Source organism: Homo sapiens, chromosome 22 (assembly GCF_000001405.40).
Source record: "Homo sapiens chromosome 22, GRCh38.p14 Primary Assembly".
Taxonomy (NCBI): Eukaryota; Metazoa; Chordata; class Mammalia; order Primates; family Hominidae; genus Homo; species Homo sapiens.
This window is the reverse complement of record NC_000022.11, coordinates 16,378,999-16,397,318: the sequence shown is the minus strand read 5'-3', so window position 1 is coordinate 16,397,318 and position 18,320 is coordinate 16,378,999. Positions and strand designations below refer to the sequence as shown.

Here is an 18,320-nt window from a genome sequence, read left to right as displayed (position 1 = left end):
AGTAGGACACGGGCTGGTGGGATAGGGAAGGATGAGGGAGACAGAGGGTCAGATGATCCCCATGGTTCTGCCTGGGGCACCTGAAGGGAAGTCAGAAAGGAAGCCAGGTTGAAGAGGGATGGCAATGAGTTTTGTGTTTGGTCTGCAGGACAGAGATGCCGGGCTGCGGGGAGGACAGGTGGGAGGACAGGTAGGAGGTGTGCATCACAGGTAAAGACAATTGCTCTATGGGCCTGGGGTTTGATGGAAAGAGACGTTAAATCATGGTTCATGATTCTTTCTCAAAATTGTAATGCAAAGAGCCCTCAATGAATCTGCATTTTATAGCATGTACTGTGCAAGTTTCGGGGGTATCAGGAAGAAGTAACATGCTGCTTTGTCTCCTGAAGCTCACAGGCTAGTGGACATGGCAGACATGTAAGAGAAGGGAGAAGAGGTCAGTCCACAGAGAACAGATTTGGGTTTACCTCTGATGCTGGCCCTCACCCAGATCAACCAAACCTAATGGAAACAGAGAGCTGAGAAAGCGGGAGAGTTGAGCTCACTGATGCTCGGATTTTACAGATGAATCTGGAGGCGGTTTCTCCCAGTGCTGACATCCAGGCACTGCGGGTGCCACAGAGAAACATGGAAGGGCCTTCTGGAGACCACCACACCTGGCATCCTTCCCCCTTTTAGAACTGGAGCGAAACAGCCATGTGTGCTATCACTACTTCTTTCATTACAGTGTCGGTCCAACACCGTAATGGTCTGACAGTCCTGCAGCCTGGAAGCCCAGGATCACGGTGCCAGCAGGGTTGGTTTCTTCCAAGGCCTCTATTCTGGGTGGTGGCCTCATGTGGCCTTTCCTCTGTGGGCACGTGCCCTTGGTGCTTCCCACCACTTTTTTCCAAGTTCACGCTGATCCCTTGAATCAGTTGTCACTCCCCCACTTGTTTTCCAGCTTCTGTGATGTTCCTGGCAGGCGCTCCTCTCACTCTCTGCTGTGAACTCTTCCCTTTTACATCTGCAATCCCTTTGCATTCCTTTTAGAGGTGTTTGGAGGAGAAGCAAGGGCTGAAGTTGTTCCCACTCATGTCTTTCACCCCCCAGGTGCCCCTGATGTTTCAGCTCCCAGTGGTGCCTGCAGGGAGATCCCTCTGTACTTCATAATATTATTTCTATTTTTTACACTTTTTTTTTTGAGATGGAGTTTCACTCTTCTCGCCCAGGCTGGAGTGCAGCGGTACGATCTCAGCTCAATGCGACCTCCACCTTCCAGTTTCAAGCAATTCTCCTGCCTCAGCCTCCCAGGTAGCTGGGATTACAGGTGCTCACCACCACGCCCAGTTAATTTTTGTATTTTTAGTAGAGATGGGGTTTCTTCATGTTGGCCAGGATGGTCTCTAACTCCTGACCTCAGTTGATCCGCTCGCCTTGGCCTCCCGAGGTGCTGGGAATACATGCGTGAGCCACTGCGTCTGGCCACACTTTTTTTTAAAAAAATTTCCTTGCAGTACTGCTTGGGCTACATGGCTTAAGCTTTTGTACATAGTTTTCATTGTTCGGTTCTAAATGCTTTTAGATTTTCATTCTAATTCTTCTCGGACCAGTGCATTATTTTTTATTTTTTTAATTTAAAAAATAATTTAATTTAGTTTTATAGAGATGGGGGGTCTCACTATGTTGCCCAGGCTGGTCTTGAACTCCTGGGCTCAAGGGATCCTCCTACCTTGGCCTCCCAAAACTCTGGGATTATAGGTGTGAGCCACCGTGCCTGGCCAGTAGTGTATCTTTAAATTTCCAAACATAGGGGAGCCCTTAATTTTAGTTTGGTTGCCAATTTATGCCTTTATTCTGTTGCATCAAGAACATGGCTGGTGTGATGCAAGTTCTTTTGCTATTTGTTGAGTCTTGTTTTGCAGCCTAGGACATGGTGAGTGTTAGTAAATGTCCAAGGTGAACTTGAAAACAATGTGTGGTCTGTAGTTTTTGGGTGCCCACTAAATCAAGTTTGTTCAACTTTTCCATATTCTTTTTTTTATTTTTATTTTTTGACAGAGTCTCACTCTGTTGCCCAGGCTGGAGTGCAGGGGCATGATCTCAGCTCACTGAAACCTCAAGTTCAAGTGATTCTCCTGCCTTAGCCACCCGAGTAGCTGGGATTACAGGCATGAGCCACCACATCTGGCTCATTTTTGTATTTTTTATTTTATTTTCAGCATGTTGGCCAAGCTGGTCTCAAACTCCTGACCTCAAGTAATCTGCCTGCTTTCGCCTCCCAAAGTGTTGGGATTACAAGCATGAAACACTATGCCTGGCCCAATTTTTCTATATTCTTCCTAATTGAGCCTGCTTAAACCAGCAGTTCCAGTGAGAAGTAGTATAATTTCCTGCGTGGAGAATTTGCTCATTTATTAATTTTTCCTTTTCTTGACACTTTTTTGTTTTGTAGTCATTTGAGGCTCTATCATTATGCAGGTGCACACAAGATCAGAATGGCTAATGCTTCTTTTTTTTTTTTTTTCTTTTTTTCCCTGTCGCCCAGGCTGGAGTGCAATGGCTTGACCTTGGCTCACTGCAAACTTCGCCTCCCAGGTTGAAGCAGTTCTGCCTCAGCCTCTCTAGTAGCTGGGACTACAGGCATGGGCCACCAGGCCTGGCTAATTTTGTACTGCAGTAGAGATGGGGTTTCACCATGTTGTTCAGGCTGGTCTCGAACTCCTGACCTCAGGTGATCTGCCTGCCTTGGCCTCCCAAAATGCTGGGATTACAGGCGTGAGCCACCATGCCTGGCCGCTAATACTTCTTTGAAAATAATTAAATTATTTATGTATTTATCCTTTTTCCCCCACCCCTCCCCCACCAGTTAATGCTTTGGAATGAATACTCATCAGTATGCTGCAACCACTTTTAATCCTAATAATGATTTTGCCCTGGAGCCTACTTTGTGCGATATGAGCTTCTCTCCACTAGCTTCCTTTTGGATGGTCTTTGCCAGATGTGTCTCCTTCTATCTGTAGTAATTAGAGCCATTCCAGCTATGTGTCAAAAATAAACAAAAGGGGTTTATGATCAAGCATGGGTGACTTACACAATCATCAAAAGAAATGGAGGAACAACTCCCAGCCCTCCGAATCGGCCACCTCCTGGGATCAGGAATAAATCGTAATCTCAAAATACAGGTAAACAGTCTACCTCCTGTCCCCTAAATGAGATGCCAAGCATGCCCCTCCCCTCAGCCAGGCTGTCTCCATCCAAGCTTCAATGACCACTGGCCTCCCTGCTGACCCATGTCCCACTGAGGAGCCCCAAGCTCTGAACAAACTGCCTACGCACCATCCCCTCGGGCTGCACCTGCTCCCCAGGCCTTCCCCCCCTTTGGAGCTGCCTCTGTCCACCAAGGGTGCTGTCGCTCACCTAACCTTCCAACCAGAACTCAGTGGTACCTTGCTGCCCCCTCCACTCCCTGAAGAAGCTGCCCCCATGCCTGTCAAGTTCTTCCAACTGCTCGAACCTTCTGGAACTCCAGGCCTCAGCATGTCTTGTCTGGGTGGCTGCAATGGCTATGCTTGCTTCTCTGTCTCTCTCCATCAATCAGTCAACCAATCAATCGATCAATCATCTATCAATCAGCTATCCACCTATTAATCTATAATCAATAATCTGTTAATCTATATAATTTACTTCTATAATCAATCATTGATCTATCCCATGTATCTTCCTATCTACCCTTTATCATGTCTATCCATCTATCTATCATTTATGCCTCTATCATGTTTATCTTTCAATAATTTATCTATCACCAGGCACAGTAGCATGTGCCTGTAGTCCCAGTAACTCAGGAGGCTGAGGCAGGAGGACTGCTTGATGCTAGCAGATCAAGTCCAGACTGGGCAAGATAGTGAGATCTCATCTCTAAAAAAAATTTTTAAATCATCTATCATCTCTCTCTATTCATCTATCTATCCATGTATCTATCATGTATTTTATCTATCACTTAGCACCTATGAATCATCCATCATCTATCAATTATCTACATCATGTCTATATATCTATATATCTATGTATCAATTTATCCATCAATCATCTATCTGTCTGTTTTCGAGGTGATATTCACAAAATATACAATCAATCCCTTTAAAGTGCACAATTCAGTGGCATTTAGTATGCTCTATAGTTCCAGAACATTTTCTTCGAAATAAAAAGAAACCCGAGGCTGGGTGTGGTGGCTCATGCCTGTAATCCAGCACTGTGGGAGGCTGAGGCAGGACGATCGCTTGAGCTCAGCAGTTTGAGACCAGCCTGGGCAACATAGTGAGATCCTGTCTACAAAAAAAAAAAAAAAAATCACAAAATTAGCAGGGTATGGTGGCACACGCCTGTGGTTCCAGCTACTCAGGAGGCTGGGGCAGGATTGCTTGAGCCCGGGAGATCAAGGCTGCAGTGAGTTATGAATGCACCACTGCACTCCAGCCTGGGTGACAGGGTGAGACCCAGTCTGTCTCATTAAAAAATAAAAAATAAATAGAAAATGTTTTGAAAAGGACTGCTCCTGCCCCATTTTCCTTCCCCTGCCCCAGCCCCTGACACCCACTCATCTGCTTTCTGTCCTGATGAGCCTATTCTGGACATTTGTGTCTGGCTTCTTTCACCCAGCATGAACTCTTTGAGGTCTATCTGTCGTGTTATGGTGGAATGGCACTGTGCCTTATGGACAGGCTGTTTGTCCATTTGTCTGTTGATGAACACTCAGGCTGTCCCACCTTTGGGAGGCTATGGCCATCCATGCATAAAGGTATGGCCGCACAGCTGTTCTCAGTTCTCATGCCTCTGAGGCCAGATGGGCTGCTGCACTCTATTCCCACCAGCCACCCTCACATGCAGCCACGTGGCCTGCAGTACTCGACACTGCTTCCCTGTTGTCGAAAGCTCCTCGGTGGACTCTGGGCTAAGTCCTGTCTCTGTAGTGTGTCCTCCAAGGCCCACCAGCCGCAGCCCTCCCTTCCCCTGCCCTCCCTTCCCCTGCATGCAGCACGAACACCCTGCACTGTGCTCCCAGTTCCCCCCCCAGGCCCCTGCACAAGTGGCCTCCTCTCCCTAGAAGGGCCAGCAGCACCCTGTGTGGCAGCTTAGACATCCCTTCTCTTGCCTTCGTGCTTCTCCCACAGGGACCAGCATGATCCCCTCCCCTAGTCCTATTTGGGCTCAGCCATTATTTCTGTGCAATGTTGTTGCAGGTTCTGCCCCGCCACCATCACAGGAATCCTAAGAGCATTGGCGTGATGCTCGGTGGAGGGCATGTTGGACCATGTCTTCTGGTGACTTTCCCCCACGGAGGGGCTTGGGGGTCAGGCCCACTCCTTTCCCAAACTCACTCTTTCCCCCACAGGCAACCCACTCCCTCTCCTCCATCTCTCCCTAAGACCCGCAGCAGACACCACCAGACTCTGAGGCAGGGAGGAAGGACTGCATTTGCCAATGGAGGCTTTTACTGGGGGGACTCGGGATGGCACCCGGCCTGAGGGCTGAGGGCCCGGGAAAGGCACACGGTGGCGGTGGGTAGGCGCTCTCTCTCGGGCAGGCGCTGGCTCTGCAGACAGCTCCCCCTGGTGACCCCTGTTTGGCACTGAGCTGGGAACATGGTGTCCGCACTCCCAGCTAGCAAGCAGAGGTCCGTGTGGCCAGGTGGCGGCTGACAGTGTAGGCTGGCGGGGTGACGGCCACAGGGGCTGGGTTTGGCACCAGTGGGAGCCGGGGCCCCAGGGGACTCAGAGGCTGGGCCGCCCCTGCTGCTGGCAGGGTAGTCACATTGGCCACGGAGATGGCTACGAATAGGGAATCCAATAAATTAGGCTGTAGAAAGAGGAGGTGAGGGGCCGAGGGGGCGGGGCCTACATTCTCACTCTGCAGGCAGTGCTGTGCGTCCCTCTCCCGTGGGATCTTCGGGGCTTCTGTGGGGGAGAGGATGCAGGTGAGGCGCTCTGTGTGACCATGGGTACCACTGGGCGGCTTTTATGGCATCGCATGGGATGGGAGCCTTGGCTGGCCACCCTCAGGAGATGGACCGTGGGGTCTTTGAGAGACTGACGAGGAGGGAGGCCACCTGCTGTGTCAGGGGCTGTGGCCTGAGGGGCTCCTGGGGCTCGGCTGCGCTGCTGCGTGGCCAGCACTGGGCCCTTGTACCCCAGCTTCCTCCACGGAGCAAAGTAGAGGACTCACTGCCCTGGACTGGGCCCAGTCACTGTGGAACAGACCCCCCAGGGAGTGGGAGGGACAGGGTGAGGGTTACGCAGGGCGCCACCCTCCACATCTACTTTCCCGAGGTCGGGAAGGGTCTTCTAGGACGAGGGGCCTGGCATGCAGGGGCGGGGTGCGTGCGCAGGTGGGCACTGCCGTCTCCTTCATGTGATTCGAGCTTGGGGGCGGGGCAGGGGCTGGGGAGGGTGGCGTCAGGTGGAGGCACCCTGGAGGCCACCAGGGCCTTGCGGGCTAGGTGCCGGCACATGCGCTGGGGCCACGGCCTCGCCCAGGATTTGGCAGAGCTCCTGGAGGTGCCGCTGCATCTTGGGAATGCCTGCCAGCTGCTGCTCCAGCCGCTGTTTCTCCTCTGTCAGACTCAGGCTGGCCGCTGAGTCCAGCTTCTCGAACTTCCAGCCGCCCTCCCCATCGAACTGTAGCAAGTGTGTGTGGTACTCCCTGGCCAGGAGAGGGACAGGGTCAGGGGCACGGCACGAGGGCTGCTGATGACAGCCGCCTGCTGCTGCCGCCTGGCCCAACAGGCCACCTCCTCCCCTCAGGCAGCCACTCCCACTCACCCCAGGAAGGGAGACAGGGCACCTACCACAGGGAGGGCCGGTGGGTGATGGAGAGCAGGGCAATGCCTGCGTCCTTGGCCGCCTGGAAGATCTTGCCTTCCACGTCGATGCTCATGGCACTGGTGCATTCATCCAGGAGGGTGTACTTGGGCCTGGGGGTCCGGGCCGAGAGGAGAGTCTGTGCACCCTCCAGGGCCCAACACCCCAACCCGGCTCAGGCTCCACTGAGCCCAGGCCTCCCCACAGCTGCTACTTCTCCTTCCAGGGGACCCCAGGGAGCCTGCCAGCCTGGAGTGCTCACCTGTGGTAGAACATGCAGGCCATGCCGATTCTCTGCTTCTTGCCACCCGGCAGGACGTCCTTCCAGTCACACATAGCCTCCCAACCTAGGCAGGGGCAATGGTCTTGGCTCAGTTCCACCAGTACCCAGACCTGGGGGCCAGCCGGGGAGCTGGGGGAGCTGCGGGAATGAGCTAGCTGTGAGGACAGGGCCCCTGTGCCTCTGCGTCCTTGTCTGACAGGCATTAATCATGGAGGAGTGGGGACTGGAATCGTGCCTTCCCCCAGAAGAGACATGGTGGAGTCCAAGCCCCAACACTTCAGTGTGACCTTATTTGGAGACAGGGCCTTCGCAGAGGTGATCACACTAAGATGAGGTCATCAGAGCGGACCCTAATTCAATATGAATGTGTCCTCATAAAAAGGGGGTGTGCGGGTAGAGGACGTGCACAGGGGAACACGAGGTGAAGATATACAGGGAGAAGTGGACCATCTGCGAGCCGAGGACAGAGGCCTGGAACACATACTTCTGTCATGGCACCCGGAAGGAACCCAACCTGCTGGTACCAGGATCTAGGACTGCTGGACCCAGGAGATGATCCACCCCTGCGGTTTATGGCAGCCCCAGGACACCCATACAGTTCCTTGGCACAGAGCTCCAGAGCGGCCTGAGTGATCTCCCCAGACCGGGGGCTTGTCACCCACAGGGGTTGGGCCTCCTGTCACTGCCCCGTGCCAGCACTTTGGCAAGGCTCGAGTGGGCTGCTTGAACAAGCAGGTGAGCCGGCTGCTCCATTGGGCCGGGGCGCTGCGGCAGAAGTGGCCCCTCCTGTCTTCTCGCCCATGCTGCCTTCCCCAGCGGCCCAGGGCTGGAAGTGGCGACAGGGTATATGGCCACCCAGAGTAGAGATTATGCTTCCCAGGTGGTCTTGTGGTGAGGTGTGAGCATGAGACTAAGTTGTGGCCAATGAGATATAACTGTAAGTATTCAATATGGTGGCTTCTGGAAACTTCCTTAAAAGATAGAAGGCACATACCTTTTGCCCCTTCCCTTCTACTTCCTCCATTCTACAGCCTGGGACGTGATGTGAGGGCTGTAGCAGCCCTCCTGGATCATGAGGTGACTTTGGGAATGGAGGCCACACACAGCAGAGTGACATGGTAGAAAATCCTAGAGACTTGGGGCCTTCACAGAGCAGGGCCAGCCCTGGCAACTGTGGCCTGGCTCTCTTGGGACCTAACAGCTCAGTAGGATAAACTCACAGATGATCTTAGCCACTACTGCGGGGAGGCCGGTTCTGTTCCTTGCAGCTCAACTCCATCCTAACGGCTCAAGCTGGCCAGCCACAGGCCCTGGGCATTCAGGCTGCCACAGAGGCGGGAGGGGCCATGTGCTCCCAGGCCGAGGGCAGCAGGAGCAAGAGGCAGGGCCAGGCCAGCGGCTGCTCCACCACCATCGCCACCTGCGTTCCCGCTTCCTCCACAGGCAGGTGACAACACCCTGGTCATTTCCTGCAGGAGCCACTTCTTCTCATGTTGCCACCGAGGGAGGGCTTGGGTGCCCATGCCCTTGAACCATGAAGGGGAGCCCCAGCAAGGCGAGGTCCTTGCCCAGGGCCATCTCGCACCCAGCAGTGGGGGCTGGAAGCAGAACCCAGAGGCTCAGAATTCAAAGACAGAACTGAACGCTCCGTCTACTGTGTCCCTGTAGCTGCACCCCCCTCTCCTCCTCAGCTCTCCCGGCCCGACAGACACTGTGGACACGCAGTATTCCTTGATAAGCCCAGGACAAGAAAACAGCTCAGTCTGGCCTCCTTTTCAGTGAACTCATCTCTGAATCCACCCGACTCTGCTGGCCCCAGCCCCCTCCAAGCATCTGCACAGACCTCCTGACAGTAGCCATCACTGCACACATGTGTCTGCTCCTCCCAGGCTGCCCCTGCCCACCACCCCACGGTCCTTCCAAGAGCGTCTGATCCCGCTCAGGGAAAGCCTAGGCTCCCGCCTGGTCCAGAGGGCCCTCTGTGAGCCAGCCTCTCACACCTCCAAGCCTGCAGGCCGCACTCTGCCCTGCTGCCCCTGGCTCCTGGACGGGGTAACCACTCAGCATTCTGCAGGGCTCAGCTCAGACCCCTTTTCTCTGGGAGAGGGTATCCTGGGTCCCCCAATGAGGTGCACATCCCTGCTAGGTGCCCCCTTCCCTAGAGCACCCATGCCACCTGGGGCCATCTGTGTGGTGTTGGTCCTCCCTGGTAGGCGGGCCTCAGAGGTAGCACCCTCTGCCCTGCCCCTGTGGCACCTGGCACTTTAGACTCCTGGATGTTGAGATAATCTTCACTCCCTGGAGGCCAAGGGAGAGGCCAGGGTGGGACAAAGGGCGGCTGCCAGCCCCAGGCCTCCTACCTCCCTCCCGCTGCAGGGTGTGGTGCGGGTGCACGATGTCCAGGATGGCTTCCAGGTCCTGCTCCGAGTAGCCGTTCCTTCGCATGTCCTCCACTGAGTCCGGGTAGATCACCTGGTCATGCAGGGAACCCACAGACATGTAGGGCCTGTGGGAAAGCTGGGTGTCCATGGAGGGAAGGGCCGGCCCTGCCTCCCCCAGGACACTCTGCGCCTCCCAGGCAGTGTAGATTCTGTCTGCTGTAGACAAAATAATGGCCCCCGAAAAATGTTCATGTCCTAATTCCCAGAGTCTAACATACAAATATGTTAGGTGGCTTGGCAGTGGGAAATTAGATTTCAAGTGAAATTAAGGTTGCAAAGGAGGGGGGGGTGCAAAAAGCCGTGTCGGGCAAAAAGCCGAGGCGGGGTGGGGGCAAACAGCCGAGGCGGGTAAAAAGCCGCGGGGGCAGGGGGTAAAAAGCCACCGCGGGGAAAAAGCCGCAGCGGCGGGGTGGCAAAAACCTGGGGCGGCCAAAAAGCCGCAGCGGCGGGGGCGCAAAAAGCCACGGCGGCGGGTGTGCAAAAATCCGCGGCGACAAAAAGCCGCGGCGGCGGAGGGGCAAAAAGCGGAGGTGGCGGGGACGCAAAAAGCCGCGGGAGCGGGGGGTGGGGGGGTTGTAAAAAGCCGCGGCGTGGTGGGGGGCAAAAAGCCGCGGCGGGGGGTAAAAAGCCGCGGCCAGCAAAAAGTCGCGTCGGCGGGGGACAAAAAGCAGCGGCGGCGGGGGGCCAAAAGCCGAGGCGGGCAAAAAGCCGAGGCGGGGTGGGGGCAAAAAGCCGAGGCGGGGTGGGGGCAAAAAGCCACGGCGGCAGGGGGTAAAAAGCCGCGGCAGGCAAAAAGTCGCGGCGGCGGGGGACAAAAAGCCGCGGTGGCGGGGGGCAAAAAGCCGTGGCTGGCAAAAAGCCGAGGCGGGGTGGGGGCAAAAAGCCGCGGCGGGCAAAAAGCGGAGGTGAGATGGGGGGAAAAAACCACGGCGGCGGGGGGGCAAAAAGCCGCGGCGGGTAAAAAGCCGCGGCGGCGGGGGTGGGGGGCAAAAAGCCGCGGCGGCGGCGGAGCAAAAAGCCGGGGCAGGCAAAAAGCCGCGGCGGCGGAGGGCAAAATAGTGGAGATGGGGTAGAAGGCCGGCACAGCTTGGCATTGCTGGAGTGTGATGTGATAGGAAATGTGCAGCCAAACACAAAAAAAGATGTAAGTAGGCTTGACTCATTGCAGCTAAGAACCCAGATGTTATCTTGAGGGTATTAACTAATAAGCAGTTTAAATCAGAATGGCACATTCTGATTTGTTTTTTGTATGTTCACATTTGGCAGGCATAGATACTGTTTGAAAAGAGAAAAGTCAGTAGATAGAGGTAATAAACTTAAATATGTGCCAAGTCTAGAAACAAGAGACTAGGGGGATAATGACCTTTCAAAATAAAATGCAAGATTTGAAAACTGATAGGCTGGTGGATGAGGAAAAGGCAGGTCTTTAAGGTCAATCCCTGTTTTGCTTTAAGTTGTTAGGGGGTGGTTTTATCACATATTGTAGAATATGTCATTTCAGTTTTGAACGTCTTGAGTTAAATTGTTCTAACATATCTTATGAATTTGATTTTCTTCCCTGGGAAGCTAATATTTCAAAAACTTAAAGAGTATAGATTTCCAACTTGTATCCAATTTATAAAACTATCTCTAGGCTGCTGATTTCAGGAGGAGGCTCGTGAATATTCTCTTCGCAGAGAATATATCAGGAGTTAACAACAGCTTCAATATTTGTGGACGACCATTTAACTAAGCCACCTTTTAGTGTATTTAGATGGGAAATCTTAGCTGAACGTATTCAATAATGAACCAACAGTGACTAAAAAATTCAATATTTAAGTATATTTCATTGTAATTAATTTGAATTGAAGTAGCCGTATACAGCTAGTATTTACTATATTGAACAATGCAAATAAGAGGACAAAATTAATAACCATCTCTAATACCGCATGCCAAAATCCTCATCAATTTATTCTAGCTAAAGGAGTTTATCAGAAGCAGCATTTGAAAGCACCAACTAAACCAGCTGGGGTTAGTTCACTGTCATTCTCTCAGAACCATCTCTTCTCTGAACAAAACAAGTACAAGAGTTCATTGTGAATCTGCATTCTCCTTGACTGTTTTAAGGTTTTGATGTTGACACTAATTTGTGAAATCCCTCCTGTGGTGTGATATTTCGTTTTCCTTGCTTTCTGATAGGACAAGAATAATTCAGCTCTTAATTTAAAATTATGTTTCTCCCTCCTAGGTTGAGTGAACTTAGAATGCATTCTCTGACATATCCAAGTTTTGTTAATATGAATTTGGGGAAAAAAGCATACTTAATTAGCTAAGACTTCTTATTCTAGGCTTGACCCTGTGTTCGACATCTTTTGAATTTGTAGTTGCATGGGCTGCTCTCTGACACTGGTTAGTGACCTGGAAGCTATATTAACGTTAGGGGAGGTGGTGTATGAGCATTAGAGGTATCCTTGCAAGGAAAGACTTGTCTTATCTCAATACGTCTTTTTTTGCACACAAGAAAGTCAGTGTTTGAGTCTTCTAAAATCTTCCTATTTCCAAGTTGCAGAGCACCATTGATTCTTAAACAAAGACCTAATTTTTGACTCAGAGACGTGGCAAGGTAGTGAATCACCATTATAATTTAACAATCTTCAAGATAAAATTATCTCTGATATTTAGATTTTGCCCAATTATTAAGATATTTGGGTGTTTCGTTAAGAATGGAAGACTCTAGTCTCTTGAGCAGAGACTATAAAGGCCTCAGATGATCATTTTTAATTTTATGCTCTTTTCTTTAACACCTTCAACACAGTTGGAAGCAGCCGATATTCCCCAGAATTGTGTTTTTTAAACCAAATGCATGGTTCAGTGGTAGAAAACTGGGCTGATCCAAGCTGTTTTCAGTAAACATTTCAGGTGACCTATTTCATATTAAATAATCTCTAGATCCTGTCTTCGAAACTAACTAGATCAGATAACCTACCCTGGTTTTTCTCCTTTTAGGGTCTGTGAGCTGCAGTCACTTTTGTGAAAATGATTGCGATGACAAGATAGAGTTGTAGATGGGGAAAATGTTTTGACTAATTTAAGCATAGTGGTATTTCATATGAGAATTTAAGTTACACACATTTGAAAATTATAATGGAGTCTCTTGGCTGAGCTTTAAAAAATATAGCATTTAGGCTAAAAAGGGAACTGCTACCTCTCCTAAGATCAGAAAGATGTTACAGTAATTCTCCATTCTCTAGAATTATCAGGAAGCACCTTTGTGATGATTTACTTTTGCTCTTGGGAGTGTGAGCCCGTGTAGTCGTGGAACCATCAATTAGAATGGTGGCTTTCTGATCCCAAAGTCATTCGTTCTGAAAACAATATTTTTCATAAATTTGAAAGTGAGAAGTTTTGATCTTGCCATTCCCAAGTAACTCTCTTAATGAGAGGCATCAGCATGCTTCAGTGACAGCTGTCACCTTCCAGTGCTGAGAGTCATCTTTGAGTTCTCCATTTCACTCCCTACACTCCAATTCAGCTGCAGTTCTCTTGGATAGTCCTATGAAATACATCCATGGCCTAACGACTTCTCACCACTACTACCACTCATCCTCACAGTATTCTCACCTAAGTCACTACCTGTTTTCTCTGGATTACAGTAGCCTCCCAATTTATTTGCTCACATAACCTATTTATTCTACACAGTGCACCAGATACACCCCTTTGAAATGCAAACACAATCATGTTATTCTCTGGTGAAATTATCTCATATATTCCTATCGCATTTAAAATTAATTCAGAATAATCCCATGATTATCAAAACCCTACATGCTCTTCCACAACATGGTTTACTTCCAAGATATCTCTTCTACTTTTTTTTCACTGTACTGAATTGGTGACTAATAGTCATATTTTTGTTTTTGCTCAAAAAGTCTTGACTTGTAAATTTTTCAGTTTCTCCTTTATCCACAGGTAACTCTTTCCACATAAGGCAAATTGCTTGCTTCCTTGAGTTCTGCTCTCAAAGATACCCTTCATTTTCTACCTAATATTAATAACTTTAATCATTCATTATTCCATTACTATGCTCTATAGTCTATACAATTTCTGTTCTTTGTCATGTTATTAACTAAATTATTTATTTGTTCCAGTAACGTATTCCATAAATATTGTACACATAAAAATTATGTTATTTTTATTGCTGTATGCTCAGCTGCCCAATAACAGTCTGAGGTTTAACATATTTGTTAAATGCACAAATACATTCTTTCACAAATATCAGTTTAATAATTTTATATTAAACTCCCTCTATACTTACAATATGAATTAGATAATTCAGAATAAACATTCCAGTGGAAAAAACTAAACAATTTGTTATAAAACATCCTTAAAAGCATCAGAAAGTTAATACAGCAATGAAGAATTACAGGACCAAATTAAGAATGGTATGGAAGCCTGTTTGTGAGGCTTATGTTTGGGTTATCTCTTTACTTAGAGTGACTATAAATCTCAAAAGAGAATTAAAGGAGAAATAACCATATCAACTCACATGGTAAGGGTATTTAAACATCTCTTAGTAATTGAGAAAATTGAAAGAAAAGAAAAAAGAGAAAGGGAGAAAGAGAAACAGAGTGAAAGGGATAATGAAGGAGAGACAGAAGAAGAGCAAGGAAGAGGAAGAAAAGTAAAAAGGAGGAGGAGGGGGAGGGAAGAAGAAAGAAAGGTGAAAAGAAAGAATGCTAAAGTTTTCAACAACATAATTTATCCTTCTAGAATATGAATGTTGGTCTATTTGATGATGTCTCACAAATTCCTTAGTCTCTGCTCATTTTTTATCTGTTTCTCAGAGTCAATATTTTCCATTTTCTTATCTTCAAGCTCATGACTTCTTCTGTATGTGCAAATATACTCTTAAATCCCTCTGGTGATTTTTAAATTTTTATCATTGTAGTTTTCCACTCCAGAATTTGTGCTATCTCTGTTGATATTCCTAATTTTTAATATTTTTTCTGATTCCTTTATTTCTTTGTTTATGTTTTCCTTTTGACATTTGAGTATAATTAAGAGAGTTGTTTTAAAGTCTTTGTCTAGTAAGTTTGATGTCTGAGTTCCCTTAGAGATATTCTCTGTCAATTTGTTTTGTTCCTTTGAATGAGCCATACTTTCCCATTCTTTGTATGCCTTGAAACTTTTTTTGAAAACTGTACATTATAATAATTATAATTACTATGTGGTTACTCTGTAAATCAGACACCCCTACAAACACAGTAATGTTTTGTGGTTTTAAATTTTCTTTACTTATTATATTGTTAAGGATTTTTTTTAAGTGAAATTTTCCAAAGTGATTTACAAAACTGTTTGCTTTATAAGGTGTCACTGAAGTCTTTTTGTTTCCATAACAAATGTTAAGCTAAAGTTTTGACAGTGATTTTCTTGTATGTCAGGAACCAATCAAACAGGCAAATACAAGAAAAACAAAAAGAAAAACAAGTAATCATTGTCCAGCAAAATATGTCTCTAGGCCATGCAGACTGGCTTTGTGATGGGTTCTTTAAAGCTGGCACAAAGTGTGTGTTCACTCTTGCACTGAGTGAAGTTCAAGTTCACTCTTGCACAGAGCTTGCACAGAGGGGAGGGATCGACCAAGGTAAAAGTGTAGGGTCTTCTTATGACATTTGTCAGCATGTGGCTTAACCTATGAATACATGTGACTTTCTATACTCTCCCATGTACGTGAATGATTTTGTATGTTTTAGTTTTTGAAATACTCTTCTCCAACTTTTCTTGCTGTGCTGAAGGTGATCTACTATAAGTGTAAACTCTAATTTTTGCCCTAAGCATCTGTGGCTTGTTAGGTTTCCTTGCAGTTTCTTAAAAATGTCCATTCCTTATCTGTTCTGTATTCTAGCAACACAGGAAAAAAAGCCTTTCATGAGTCATTTAGATATCCCCAGACCTGTCAGAATAGACACTCGAGTCCATTCGATGATTCCACTCGATTCCATTTGATGATGATTCCATTCGAGTCCATTCGATGATTTCATTCAATTCCATTCGATGATGATTCCATTCGAGTCCATTCGATGATTCTATTCGATTCCATTCGATGATGTTCCTTTTCATTTCCATTCGATGATGATTCAATTCAATTCCATTCAATGATGACTCCATTACATTCCATTTGATGATGATTCCATTTGATTCCTTTCGATGATGATTCCATTTGATTACATTTGGTGATTATTCCTTTCGAGTCCATTCGATGATGATTCCATTCCAGTACATTCGATGATGTTTCCATTCCACTCCATTCCATGATGATTCCATTCGTGTCCATTCGATGACGATTCCATTCCATTCCATTCGATGATGATTCCATTAAATGATTCCATTCGATTCCATTCGATGATGATTCCATTCGATTCCATTCAATTCCATTCTATGATGATTCCATTCAATTCCATTTGATGATGATTCCCTTAGAGCCCATTCGATGATTCCATTCGATTCCATTCGATGATGTTTCCATTTGATTCCATTAGATGATTCCATTCGATTCCATTCGAGGATGATTCCATTTGATTCCATTCAATGATTCCATTTGATTCCATTCGATGTTGATTCCATTCGAGTCCATTCGATGATTCCATTCGATTCAATTTGATGATGATTCCATTCAACTCCGATCCATGATTCCATTCGATTCCATTTGATGATGATTGCGTTCGAGTCCATTCGATGATTCCATTCGATTCCATTCAATGATGATTCCATTCGAGTCCATTCGATGATTCCATTCGATTCCATTCGATGATGATTGCATTAGACTTCATTGGATGATTCCATTCGATTCGACTCGATGATGATTCCATTCGATTCCATTGGCTGATGCCATTTGATTCCATTCAATGATTCCATTTGATGATTATTCCATTCGATTCCATTCAATGATTCCATTTGACGTTATTTCCATTTGATTCCATTCGATGATTCCATATGATTCCATTCAATGATTCCATTCGATACCATTCTAGGATTTCATTGGATTCCATTTGATGATTATTTCATTCGACTCCTTTCGATGATTCCGTTTGATTCCATTCGATGAGGATTCCATTTGATTCCATTTGATGATGATTGCATTCGATTCCATTTGATGATTCTTTTCGATTTCATTTGATGATGATTACATTCGATGATATCATTCAATTCCCTTTGATGATTATTCCATTCGATTTCTTTCAATGAATCCATTCAATTCCATTCGATGATGATTCCATTCAATTCCTTTTGATGATGATTGCATTCGATTCCATTCAATGATTCCATTCGATTCCATTCGATGATGATTCCATTCGATGATGATTCCATTCGATTCCATTTGATGATTCCATTCGATTCAATTCGATGATTCCATACTATTCCATTTGATGATTATTCCATTTGGTTCCATTCAATGATGATTCCATTCGATTCCTTTTGATGATTCCTTTTGATTCCATTCGATGATGATTCTACTCGATTCCATTTGATGATGATTCCATTCGATTCCATTCAGTGATTCCATTCGATGATGATTCCATTCAACTGAATTTGATGATTCCATTCGATTGAATTCGATGATGATTCCATTTCATTCCGTTTGATGATGGTTCCATTCAATTCCATTCGATGATGATTTCATTCGATTCCATTTGTTGAATCCATTCCATGATTCCATTGGATTCCATTCAATGATTCCATTCGATTCCATTCAATGATTATTCCATTTGATTCCATTCAATGATTCCATTGGATTCCATGCGATGATGATTCTCTTTGATTCCATTCCATTATTCCATTCGATTCCATTCGATGATGATTCCATTCGGTTCCATTTGGTGACTCCATTTGACACCATTCGAGGATTCCATTCGATTCCATTACATGATTATTCCATTTGATTCCTTCCAATGATTCCATTTGATTCCATTAGATGATGATTCCATTTGATTCCATTCGATGACGATTCTGTTTGATTCCATTCAATGATTCCATTCGATTATATTTGATGATGATTCCATTTGATTCCATTTGTTGATTCCTTTCGATTCCATTCGAGGATTCCATTCAATTCCATTCAATGATTATTCCATTCGACTCCTTTCGATGATTCCATTCAATTCCACTCTATGATGATTCCATTCGATAATGATTCCATTCAATTCCATTCGATGATTTCATTCGATTCCATTCAATCATTCCATTCGATTCCATTCGATGATGATTCCATTTGATTTCATTCAATGATTCCATTTGATTATATGCAATTATGATTTCATTCGATTCCATTCCATGATTCCTTTCAATTACTTTCGATGATGATTCCATTCAATTCCATTCGATGATTCCATTCGATTCCATTCTAGGATATCATTCGATTCCATTCAATGATTATTCCAATCGATTCCTATCAATGATTCTGTTCAATTCCATTCGATGATGATTCCATTCGATTCCATTCGATTATGGTTGCATTTGATTCCATTCGATGATTCTTTTCAATTTCATTCGATGATGATTCCATTCCATGATTCCATTTGATTCCATTCCATGATGATTCCATTCAATTCCATTCGATTTATTCCATTCGATACCATTCGATGTTTCATTTTGATACCATTCGATGATGATTCCATTAGATTCCATGTGATGATGATTCTATTCGATTCCATGTGAAGATGATTCCATTCAATACCATTTCATGATTGCATTCGATTCCATTCGATGATGATTCCATTCAATTCC

At 46.5% G+C, this 18,320-nt stretch overlaps 1 pseudogene; it reads right to left on the bottom strand.

The window, feature by feature from the left end:
* ABCD1P4 (ATP binding cassette subfamily D member 1 pseudogene 4) lies at positions 5,442-9,630 on the bottom strand (annotated as a pseudogene).